The sequence below is a fragment of the Homo sapiens genome, chromosome 5 (genome assembly GCF_000001405.40).
Source record: "Homo sapiens chromosome 5, GRCh38.p14 Primary Assembly".
In the NCBI taxonomy this organism is placed as follows: Eukaryota; Metazoa; Chordata; class Mammalia; order Primates; family Hominidae; genus Homo; species Homo sapiens.
This window is the reverse complement of record NC_000005.10, coordinates 135,487,777-135,499,289: the sequence shown is the minus strand read 5'-3', so window position 1 is coordinate 135,499,289 and position 11,513 is coordinate 135,487,777. Positions and strand designations below refer to the sequence as shown.

The 11,513-nt window shown below is 51.4% G+C and overlaps 5 annotated features.

Annotated features, from left to right (window-relative positions):
- Positions 985-1,185: a silencer, noted in NCBI's record as "peak5480 fragment used in MPRA reporter construct". NCBI's record gives its function as "represses an SCP1 promoter by STARR-seq MPRAs in K562 erythroleukemia cells {active_cell/tissue: K562}" and the evidence as "EXISTENCE:reporter gene assay evidence [ECO:0000049][PMID:32103011]".
- Positions 7,935-8,791: an enhancer, noted in NCBI's record as "H3K27ac-H3K4me1 hESC enhancer chr5:134826189-134827045 (GRCh37/hg19 assembly coordinates)". NCBI's record gives its function as "activates a minimal SCP1, AML or CMV promoter by ChIP-STARR-seq in naive H9 embryonic stem cells {active_cell/tissue: H9 hESC(naive)}" and the evidence as "EXISTENCE:reporter gene assay evidence [ECO:0000049][PMID:30033119]".
- Positions 8,792-9,648: an enhancer, noted in NCBI's record as "H3K27ac-H3K4me1 hESC enhancer chr5:134825332-134826188 (GRCh37/hg19 assembly coordinates)". NCBI's record gives its function as "activates a minimal SCP1, AML or CMV promoter by ChIP-STARR-seq in naive H9 embryonic stem cells {active_cell/tissue: H9 hESC(naive)}" and the evidence as "EXISTENCE:reporter gene assay evidence [ECO:0000049][PMID:30033119]".
- Positions 9,097-9,391: a silencer, noted in NCBI's record as "tiled region #2127; K562 Repressive non-DNase unmatched - State 23:Low". NCBI's record gives its function as "represses a minimal TATA promoter and a strong SV40 promoter by Sharpr-MPRA in K562 cells {active_cell/tissue: K562}" and the evidence as "EXISTENCE:reporter gene assay evidence [ECO:0000049][PMID:27701403]".
- Positions 9,649-10,506: an enhancer, noted in NCBI's record as "OCT4-NANOG-H3K27ac-H3K4me1 hESC enhancer chr5:134824474-134825331 (GRCh37/hg19 assembly coordinates)". NCBI's record gives its function as "activates a minimal SCP1, AML or CMV promoter by ChIP-STARR-seq in naive and primed H9 embryonic stem cells {active_cell/tissue: H9 hESC(naive and primed)}" and the evidence as "EXISTENCE:reporter gene assay evidence [ECO:0000049][PMID:30033119]".

The window sequence follows — 11,513 nt, the reverse complement described above, 5'->3', positions numbered from 1 at the left end:
TCTGGGTAAACCAGAATGGTTGGTTACTTTTCCTGGGGAAAATGCTCCTTTTCTTCTAGGATCTGAAGTATTTACAAAGGGGTGGGAAAGAGCAGGTGGGGTCATCTGATTCAACCTTGTACTCCCTTCTGTGGCTCAGCTTGAAGCCTTGCTCCCCCCTCTCCTTCCTTTCTTCTATGAGAAAAGACATTTGTCAGACTCTGAGGCCAAGCCAGGATGCTGCAGCTGGGGGCAGGGGACACGCTCACCCACCCCGTTAGAGCAGGTGCCAGCTTCATCCTTTCTCTTCCCCGCCCCCTTTAGCAATCAGTGAATTTTAATTCATTGATAACCAAAGGTCAGCTTCCAAAGCTGCATCCCAGCTTCCCTGCCATCCATGCTTGGGAGTGAAAGCTGTGGCGACACCTTGCACTGATGTCCCCAAGTGGCAGCATGCCTGGTCCTAGTTGAACGCTGGCTCTTAGGTTCTGCTTCAGCACCATCAACTAATGGCAGGCCCAAGTACCTCTACAGTTTAAAAGACCTCATGCATACAGTGACTCATTGGATCCTCAGGTGAACAGCAGGCATGTTTGTCCAATTTTATGATGGAAACAGACTAAATGTCAGGGTCAGAAAAGTGGCAGAGCCAGACCTGAGACTGGATCTGACTCCCAGGTGCACCCGGCCTCAGGATGCCAAGGCCTGGCTCTGCATGGCTCCAAGAACAGCAGGGAAGAGGTGGAGAAGGAATCACCAGTTTTTCACCCTCTCACCTCCCCCACTGCTTTAAAAAATGTATCATAATCCTCAAGAACACACTCAGCAGATGGTAGATTCAGGAATAAATTCAGGACTGCCAGATTTTCTCCACCACAAAAACCTCACACATGTCTCCCGCCTTTGCCTCACACACAGAGTGGGAGATGAGGATCCCTACGGTGAGCACCCAGCACGAGGGAGGGACCTAGCAGCAGAGGGAAGAGGCACAGGAGACCCAGGGTCCCCTCTGTCCCTGCATGTCAGGTGGAGGATTCCCTATCACCCATCAAAGGGAGTGAGTTAGTTCAAGATTTGCAGGCTGGCCCCAGAGACCTGTCCCAAAGTCCCCAGGCTGAGCATGACAGATGTGTCTCCCTTTAACTGAGATCTGAGTCATCTGACTCAAAAGAAAAAGCACTCAGCTCATCTTTCGCTTCCCTGGCTATGAAGCCAGGGTCGGGAGGGAATGGGGTGGAGACTGATCTGTTAAATCCTATTCTGGAAAATAGCCTGGGGTAGGGTGGGGCGGGGAGGCAGGCACATGTGTGTACATGTATGTGTAAATGTGGCGCACACCTTCTCTGCAGAAAAGGTTTGAAAGCAGTGCTTGAATTTGTTTGCCAATGTCATCTACTTACTGGGTTCTGCTAAAAGAGCTAGACCCTGTGCTATGTTTTATGGAGGAGGTAAAGATTGGTGGGTCTTAGGCCCTGGTCTCCAGAAGAAAATGAATCATGTAACCATCGTCTTTATCCCAAGTGTACGATGAGCCAGGCATAAAATTAAATGCTGGGAGTAAGTACAGGGTCATTGTAAAGGCTTCAGTAGCATTTCAAATGGGATAAAGGAGAAAATAGGGGGTTGTGGACTTCTCTTCTGAAATAGGTGTCCTCCTCTCCAGTAGAAGAAAGCAGGTGCAAAGTCATTGGACCAAATCCCTGCCTCCTTTGTTTTCCACTTTTGAATAGTAAGGTGGTCCCCCAAGGACTCCCTCCACTGGCAGTAACTGGGGCAGATCATCAGGGAAGAAACCTTAGATTCTTCTTCCAGATGAGACTGGGAGTGTCCCTGGGTCATGCCCAGTGGAATCCTGCAATCCACGATTTCTACCCATGGCTGCAGGGTCCCTGCACCAGTTTCCCCTCTCATCTCCCTGCTTCAGGTCTCACCCATTCTGGTCTGTCCTCCAGAAGGCCACCAGTGGATTTTAAAATACAAGTCTGACACACTCACTATTCGTTTACCTATTTCCAGGGGTACAGAATAAAAATCCTACAGGATAAAATTCCAGCCTGTTTATTTCCTCTGTACCTTCAGCCTCATCTGTCTTTATGACCTCCACGTGCTCCCTCCCACTACCCATATCATGCTTGCAGGCCTTTGCCCAAGCTGTTTCCTCTGCTGGGACATAACCTTCCCTGCTTCCTATCATTTATGCTCCCAACTCTTACCCAACCCTAAAACTTAGTTTATATCACCCCATTTATAATGCTGTCTCCGCACCACTTATTTCCCCAAGGGTCCAGGGACTCAACAACTGCACTGACCACTATATCAGAATGAGTGGCTTATCTGTCTGTCTTTCCCTAAAGACAGTGAGTCCCCTGAGGCCAAAGATTGCACTTCTATCATCTCTGCAAGCCCAGGACCAGTACCTACAGGATCTCAAATGATAGCCTGCTAAACGTGCTCTTGAGTTAGCAAGTGGATCGCACAATTTCCTCAACTTGCCCAGGAAGATTCCTAAATGGCATCCAGGTTGTTTCCAGTCATCCAAGTCAGCAGGAGCCTCAGTGCGGGTGTTAACGACATACTTTCGGCACAGGACAACATGCCTGACGCATTATCCAGGCAGTCCTAAAAGTTTCAGAGAGGATTTCTCCACCTTTCTCACAGCCTGTTTCCTGACTCGATGACCTCTAAAATTGACTGATATAGTTTATTTTTTGGGTGCTTACTGTAGGAGATATACTTTACTTTTAATCCTTTAAAAGTAAAATATCTCACTTAATCCATAAAACACCCTAGTATATAGTCAGCAATATTCGATTTTTCAAATGAGGAAACTGAGGAACAGAAAGATTTAAAAGATCCCTTTTATTTCCTGTAGAGTTGAAGAACAGGATTATGTCCCTGTAAATCTTGCTTAGTAGCTACCTTCAAATACAAGAGTGCCTTATTTTAAAAATAAAATAAAAAGGCCAACATAGCAAACACTGGACGTATCTAATAAGTAGCAATAAGAGACAGTGGATTCTTTGGTTTAAAAACACAAGTCAGAAGCACTAATTATCAGTTCCCCCACCCCCTTCAAGTGGGGGAACTGATTTTTGTTTGGAAATAATTCAAATCAAATTAATGCAATTCAATAAATATCTATTTCATGCCTTCTATGTAGTAGGCACTATTCTAGAAACTTGGGAAACAAAGAAAGACAAAGAACCCCGCCTTCAAAGAGCTAGTAGTGAAAGAAAAACAATGAAAAATAAGTGTAATAAACAAGAAAATATGTACCATATTAAAAGGTGCAGTAGATAGCCTCTAAGACCACTCCAGTCATCCTCGCCGCCCAGTATTCAGCCCCTTGTGTAGTGTCCTCCTACACTGATCAGGGCTGACCAATAGGATTGATATGGTTTGACTGTGGCCTCACCCAAATCTCAACTTGAATTGTATCTCCCAGGATTCCCACATGTTGTGGGAGGGACCCAGGGGGAGGTAACTGAATCATGGGGACCAGTCTTTCTTGTGTTATTATAGTGAGTAAGTCTCACGAGATCTGATTGGTTTATCAGGGGTTTCCATTCTTGCTTCTTCCTCATTTTCTCTTGCTGCTGCCATGTAAGAAGTGCCTTTTGCCTCCTGCTGTGATTCTTAGGCCTCCCCAACCACGTGGAACTGTAAGTCCAGTTAAACCTCTTTTCCTTCCCAGTCTCAGGTATGTCTTTCTCAGCAGCATGAAAACAGACTAATGCAAGGATGTTACAGAAACGATGGACTATGACTTCCAAGGCTGCGTCAGAAAGGACATTGTGGCATTTTCCTTGCCACTGTTGGAACACTTGCTTTGGGGGCAGCCAGCTAGCTGCAATGTCTTGAGAATACTCAAGCAGCCCAGTGAAGAGGTCTACAAAGTGAGGAACTGAGGCCCTCACCAACAGCCAACACCAACTGCCCACAATGTGAGCATGCCATCTTGGGAGCAGCTCTTCCATTCCCAGTCACCCCTTCAAAAGATTGCAGCCTCAGCTGACATCTTGACTGCAACCACATGAGACACCCCACAACAGAACCACACAGCTAAGCCATTTCCAAACTTCTGACCCACATAAACAGTGAGACAACAAATGTTTACTGCTGTTTAAACCACTTGGATAAGGACTCTTGCACCTCTTATCCCATTTCTAGGAGTCTGGGACAATTCCAAGGTTCCAATTTACAACAACCTAACTTATGCAGTTTTCCAGAAAATGTCTTCTACAGAAACAAAAAGCTAAACCTGCCTAGGAAGTGACGTCAGAACCATATGCAGTAAAACTGTGAGAAGAAGAGCTTGCTAGGGTAGGCAAGGAGTCTCCTCTCTGTCTGATGACTTCCTCCCGTGGCTGCTCTGTGATTCTCTTGGTATTTCTAAGCACCTTCTGCGCATCAGGCTTATGCTGGGTTCTAAGGGCTCTGGAAGGAAAGACAAGGCCCATCTCACACATGTACTCAATCAACATTTGTTGAAGGAATGTGAGCTGCCTTGGAATGAGTTCCTAAAATGCTTAGTGAACTTTCAATCTTCAAATATCCTTTGACCACGTAAAAAAAGAAAGAAAGTAAACCTGCACTGTCAGAGGCACCTCTTGAGCATTGCCAGCCAGTGGCTGGCCCAGGGCCTCTCCAGAAGGCAGGAAGGGAGAAGTGGTTCAAGCCTCTGCATCTTTTACCCCTAAAGGAGGCAAGGGAAGGACAGGGAGGCTTGAACCACTGGCCATGTCAAGCATGGTGGGCTGGGGGGCAATGACTTGTGCCTGTGCAGCTCCACACAAAGGAAGTCTTAATGATGAATCAGGGCAGCAGGGTAAATATTTAGAAAGAGAAGCCTCTCCTTGGAGGGCCAGCCTTTGTCTTCTTGTTCGAACTGAAAGGACTTGGTCGAAAAGGGGTCTGTTACAATGGGATGGGAAACAGGGAGTAGCCACAGCCAGCACAATGCTGTGGCCTAAATGATGGAGGGACTAGCGGTATGTGGAGAGCTGAAACAATAACCAGAGATAGGAAGCCTCTGCCGGGATTCTCCAGGGCACCGCCCAGGGACCTTCACACATGATGCTTTAAGCCCTGGCTTCAGCTCCTGGCAGGGCTTGGTGGTGTGCCCGGGATATTCTCCATTTATCTGTCTCTAAAAGCGAATATTCTCAAGGCTCCAGAGGACAGAGAGGGCTATGCACTGACTCCTCAGTCCTTCCCCAAGCCCATCTTTCCAGCCTCATGATCTGCTCTCCTCTCTTCAGTTAAGCCACCCCTGTGGAGCCTGTTTCTCAAACATGGCTCCAGGCTTTCCCCTCACAGCTGCCAGCAACTCTGGGTGGTTAAATTCCTCCCATTCCTGACTCTTCACCTCAAGATGTTCAGGACCTGGTTCTTAGAGAGAAAACCTTTTAAGCCTCTTCTTGGTAAGAGGCCATTAAGGTCTCTTCTGAAAGAAAACATAAAGATTTGTTTCAGAAATAAAGGGAATCATGGATTAAGTTCCACCTGTGTGTGATAGTCGGGAAGAGAAAGCCGTGCCTGCCCTGGCCTGCTTGGGCCTCTGTCTTGGCAGACACCAACGTTAATGGCCACTGCTAACAGGAGCTGCTCTAACTCACAAAAGGGAAACAGATTTCAAGTCTTGAAGCCTGAATCAGCCAAAACTACTCATTTCTTGAAACAGGCTTTGTTTTGTAATAGCCTCATCATGACTCATCATCAAGAAATAGGGCACTGGTAAGACCTTCCCTGGCACTCTGGTCTCCCTACAGAGGTCCCAGCCAGGGAGAACCATGCCTGAGTGCAGCGCAGCTTATGGAAAAGGTAAATACACACGCAGCAGAACACACTGCGGCCTTGGGCTGCCTCATTTTTCGTTGTATGAGAACCAGTTTTGTTGCTGGTGGCCCTCCATGGAAGCTGTGGTTTCTGATTTGATAAGCATTCGTACGAGCCATGCTCTGCTCCTGTAGGACAACATAAAAAGTGAGGAAACTAACATGGTAGCATTCACGGACCACTCGCCCCACCTGACATTAAACGTTCATTAGAACACAGGGCTAGAAGGACACCAGAGGCTTCCCACACCAGTTTCCTGCTTCATTTCCAGGAGTCTGCACTTCTTGGCACTCTGGAACAATCTATGGCCCTCCTGCCCACACACAGAGTTGGTGCCCATTCTGCCTGAGGAGGTGGAAATTTGTCCCAAATGGGGCCAGCCACCATCCATTCACCCATCAAAGTGACACCAGTTTATTGTGGGGTTATTGCCACTAGCCAGCTATATATAATCTAGGTGAAATGATAAATCCAGGCACCTGTATCTCATCACTGAAGATACAGGGCCATCGACACTGCCAGGCCAGCATATATATAAGACCAACCAATGTCCTCTATAGAGTTTGAGTCCACAGCAATTGGCAGAGTATGCACTGCTCAGATTGCTCCTGAGTGTCCTGTCTGCAGTCATTCCAGACCTCAGACCACCATTACAAGGGATAAGACATGCTTACTTGTCCCTTAGTGTCAGGGGCACAAAGGGTATCCAGCCCACTCTGAAGTGGGCTGGAAAGTGAAAAATGGGCAGCTGGATGTTGGCTGGAATGAGGGCACTAAATGAAAGCTTTAGAGGGACATGCCACATTTCTAAGGCAGCCACTGGGGCAGGGAGAATTAAGGTCAACAACATATGCTGACATTCATGTAATAAACCAGGACATACAGGTACCAAGTAGGGCCCCAGCATGAAAAAGATCAAAATCCAGATGACTTTTCCCATGATCCTAGGTGGCTTGTGAACAATAGTTGCAACACCACGGTTCAGCCTGCTTCCTCAAAGGTCCAGTAGCCCTAACCAGCAACAAGTGTTGCCTGAACACTACTTCATGCTCCAGCCCTACCCGCAGGAGCCCAGTTTCATCAACCACACAACCATGCCAGATGGGTGTGTACATAAGTACAAACCGCAATGATGGAGAAGAAAGTGGGGAGGTCGCCTGGTTTGGGTAGGGGGTATAGCTAGGGAAGGTAGACAAACATTCAACTCTGGGTTTCCTGTGACCTCACAGCCTCCTGAAGCAGCCCTACTCATGGCCTTGAAGCTCCCTCTCCCAGTACCTCTTCGGGGTACTAAGGCTCCCCTCTTAGCTCCAGGCATTCTTGAGAGCAGAGGGCACTTCCCGTGGTTCCCCTAGGCTGCCTCTCTGGCAGGTTAGGAAATTGACTCATTAGGATTTCATCCACCTTTTCACTGGCTACCTCTCCCGCTCCCCACCCCCGCCCTAGACTGCCTCACTAAGTCAACACTGCAATCTCTCTGGCTCAGCTAAGTGGTCCCTAGTGAGGAGCAGGCCTGAGCGCCGGGTAACCGAGGAACTCGGAGGCACCTGGCCGCCGGCATGCTCACCTGCAGCGCTCTAGGATGGGGTGCGCAGTGGGCAGCCAAGCGCCCCCCACCCAGACGGAGGAGGGGCGGGAGGCCCTGTTCCCGACCTGTCAATCACTGCCCGGCCCGCAGCTGCGCTCTCCGCAGCCCCAGCGCGCTGTTCCTCTGAGGGAGATAAACATCGAGAAATCCAATCCAGCGCCGCTTCAGAGATAAACAGATGTGCGGCCCTCTTCGGTCAGGAGATAACGCCCCTGCCCCGCCCCACGCGCCCGCCCGGCCTGCACCTGCCTGAGGCGACAGGGACGCGCCTCTCGGGAGGCAGGTTGCGTCCCCCAGCCTGGAGAAATGGTCTCCAGAGCTGCGGGTGGGGGTGGGGTTGGAGAAGAAAGAAGCTCGGTTTGTAACAAACTCATAATAGACCCTAGGAATCAACTGCCAAGGCTCGAATCCTGGCTCTGCCACTGTTTGGCAGGCGACGGCAACTTTAAACCTGGATGTGCTCATCCGAAAGATGGGGATAACCACAGTAGCATGCTATTGGGCGTCTGAGGTGGGGAAAGCGCTGTGGCCTCACAAACTCCGGCTCTAACAAAGGAGCGGCTGGATGGCCTCTGGGGCTAGGATCTACTACCAGAAGCTAGGAGGCTTCTTCCTTGACACCCAAAGTCAGTCACCGCTGAGCCCTTGGGAGACTTCCCTGCCCAGAGCACCACACAACTCACTCATCTATTCCACTGACAGCGGGGAACACTTTCCACGGGCCACTTCCTGTGGGGAGTGAAATATGACCTCTGCCCTTAAGATGAAGTTTAGGGACTCAGGAATGACAGCCGCCTGCAGATTATACACCTCCGGGCTGCCTCTGAAGCCTAAATATTCCCAGTCCTTTGTGAGGCGACTTCTTCCCTACCCTAGCAACTGGCTTAGACCACTCTCGCTTAACTGTGAAGGAAGGGTTTGTGGGACTCTGGAGCTACGTATAGCTTGATTTCTGTCCCTAAGACCACCAGGTCGGAAGCTGGGTGAGGGCAAAACCCCAGGGGCTTCAGCAAATGTGGGTGGCATGGAAGTAGGTCTCCCAGAGCGGGGAAGAGGGCAAAGGTGGAAGGGGCTTTTCCGGGCCCTCAGCGCACGTGCCTGCTCTGGCTAGGCCGCCCATCGCGTCCAGAGCACCTGCTGCGTGCGGCGACGGGAAAGGCCCCGGCCCTGAACTGGAGGTGGAGGCGGCTTGGCCACAGCTGGCTAAGACCGCGCCTACGCTGGCATCTTTTACTGGAGCTTCTTCCTCGCTCAGCCTGGAGTCTAGAGGTCCCGACATCGTCTTCTGAAGGGCCAGGAAATGCCGAGCCTCCGGGGTCGCCAGCCCCACGTGAGTTTGGGGTGCATTAAGGACTGCACCGGCAGGCCCCAGGCTCCTCTACTGGCGAGGTTAGAAGGAAATGCCTGGCCCTCCGTGCAGCGGCTGCCCTTGGGCCTCCGAGTGACGCTGAAAGACTGAGTCTGCGTACTGCGAGGGGCCAGCAGGGCGCAAGCCCGCTCTCACCGCTGAGCGTTGCGCGTTAGTTACGAGCTTATTAGTCCCCTCGGAGGGGTGTGAATCTACTGTGTTGCAGTAAGGTCCGAGTGAGCCCTTTCATGCTATTGTGCGCGTGGCTATTTAGCGCGGCGTTTGTGGGCCTGAAAGGTCCCGGGGGCCTCTCCGGTCCGCGCATTCCCGCGGCACCAGCTTCGGCTGCACCTCAATCCCCGCCCGGCCCGAAGCGCGTAGTCCCCCGAGCCACCGCACTCTCCTGCCGGTCTTCCGCACGCTGCAGCTCGGGTCGATGGCACGAACCGCTGAACCAGAGCAGCCCTCATACCTTGCTCCCCAAGGCCCTCGCCTCCTCCGCCCCTCTTCCAGCCAAAGTGAAAAAATGCATGTGGACTCTTTACCTCTACTTGGGGGCAATTGGACTAGGTTTAAAGGGCTATTGAGGCCGCGAGAGGCTGCCTCTCTCTGAATAGCTTTGTGCAATGTTTGCAGAGACATTTGCATCTGTTTGCGCTTGGGGAAACGGCCCCGAAGGCTCAGTAGCGAGAAAGCCCGAGGATTGTTTTGTGTCTCTCCCCGTCCCCGCCCTGCTCCGCGCTAGACGATTTTGTGCAGCGCTCCACGGGCTCGGAGCGGAGGCATGCAAAACCCGACCAGTTCAAAGATTGGGCGCCCTCGCTCTCGGCCCCCTTTTAAACAATTGCTGTTAACAATGCAATTTTAAGCATAAAATCGTCTAACTAGATTAAATCCACATGACATAAAAAAACAGGGGTGGGAAGGGGAGTCCTCATTGGCATAGAAGTGCGGACGCCTAACAGGATAGAAAGTGTGAAATGCATGCAGAGGTGGAAAGACCGGCAGGTGCCCCGGCCTCCCTCCGGCCGGACAGGGGCTGGACCGCTCGCCTCCCTCCAGTCCCGACACCCAGGGAGACGAAGTGGCTCCCAGGGGAACAGGCGCGCAAGGCCAGGCGCCCATCCTGGGGGACCCTAGGAGGGGTGAGGTGTACCCAAAATTAAGTCCCGGGCTCCTCTACCTCCTCCACCTGCAGGCCCCGCGATCCTGGCCCTGCTGCTGCGTCCTACCCTCCCCAAGTCCGAGGGGCGCGGGGCAAGTCTGGGGAAGACGGAACGCCCTCTCCACTCGCGAGACTGGGCAGACAGGCTCTTTCATGGAATCGGAATCAAAGTCAGGCCTTAGAAAGGCCCATTGCTATGGCAGCAGAGTTCCCTGAAAGCGACAAAGCCCAGGGCCCTCCTCCCTCCCTTCCCTTGCCCAGCCGTCCTCTCCCCTCCCCCTGCGCTGCCTGGAGCCACGCTCGGAGCGCGCTCGGACGGGTTAATCACTGTAAAAACAAAGAGATGAAAGGCTCTCCAATTGGAGAGCCCTCGGCGGCCTCCTCCCCGGCCTGGGGGAGGGGAGGAGGCCACTCCGGCGGAGCTTCTCTAGCCAGCCAAGAAGACGCTTCTGCCCTCCGCCGGGTGGAAGCCCCATCCCACTGTCCCCAGGCGATGCCGCCCACACAATCTGGCGCCTCCCGAAGGACCCGAGGAGGCTAGCGGAGGGAGACAGGCCGTCACCCAGCCAACCCCACCCACAGCCACCACCCCGCAAAACATAAGCACAAAGCCGCGGGCTTTTTCTCCGGGGCTAAAGAAAGGTTTGAGACTTGAGAAAACATTACTGGCTCTAAAAACAAACAAAACACGGCAAAAACGAAATTCATAAGCATTGAAGTAAATGTCTCTAATATAACATTGTTAACTAGTCAAGTTTAAATCCACTAGCTTCTATAGTTCTATATAAATTTAATTCCATGTGGGATCTGGAAGCATTTTATTTTTAGTATCATGTGGGGTGATGTTCAGGAAGATGTTTTAAAGGCTTAGAGTTTTCCTTGTAAACTTCACTTGGGGTTCAGGGCCATGCAGTGCAAAGCTGAAGGTCCTTGTTTATTCTGTGGCTGGTCCTTTGGGTCCGTGGCCCTTCCTCACACCTCACCCCCATCCCCATCCTCTCGGGCAGACTGGCAATGCCTTTGGTCCCCATTCCCTCAGTGCAGCCCCATTTAGTGCAGCTGAGGTGGGAAGCAGAACAGGGTTGCCTTGTCGCTCAACCTGTCACAGGCTGTGGAGCGCCTGTTGTCTCTGGCTCCTTCCTTTCACCCAGTTTCTACCCTCCGAGAAGATGCGGCACTGGGAGGGAAAGGAGGGGAAGATAGGCACATCTGCAGGGGTCCAGGGCTCCGGAGATGGGCTTCCCAGAGACTGTGCCTGAGTTTTGAGGAGATTACCACAGGGCTCTTGGAGAAATGGGGAGACTCTCCCTCTAGGGACAGCTTTCAGTAACTCACAAAGCCGAGCGGAAATTTTTTTTTCTTTTAGCTGTAAGCTCAGGACCACCCCGGTGCCCAGCATTGCCTACGCCAAGTGTCATCCATCCTCTCCCTGTCATCAAACCTCCCAGGGCAAACAGAGCTTCCCAACACACATGCACACACACACACACACCACCCAATGCCAATTCACTTCATTAAAGCTCCTGATTTAGGGTCCAGAGCCCTCAGATATTCCCATAGACATTCCCCCATCTAACAGTAAGAAAAATATTTTC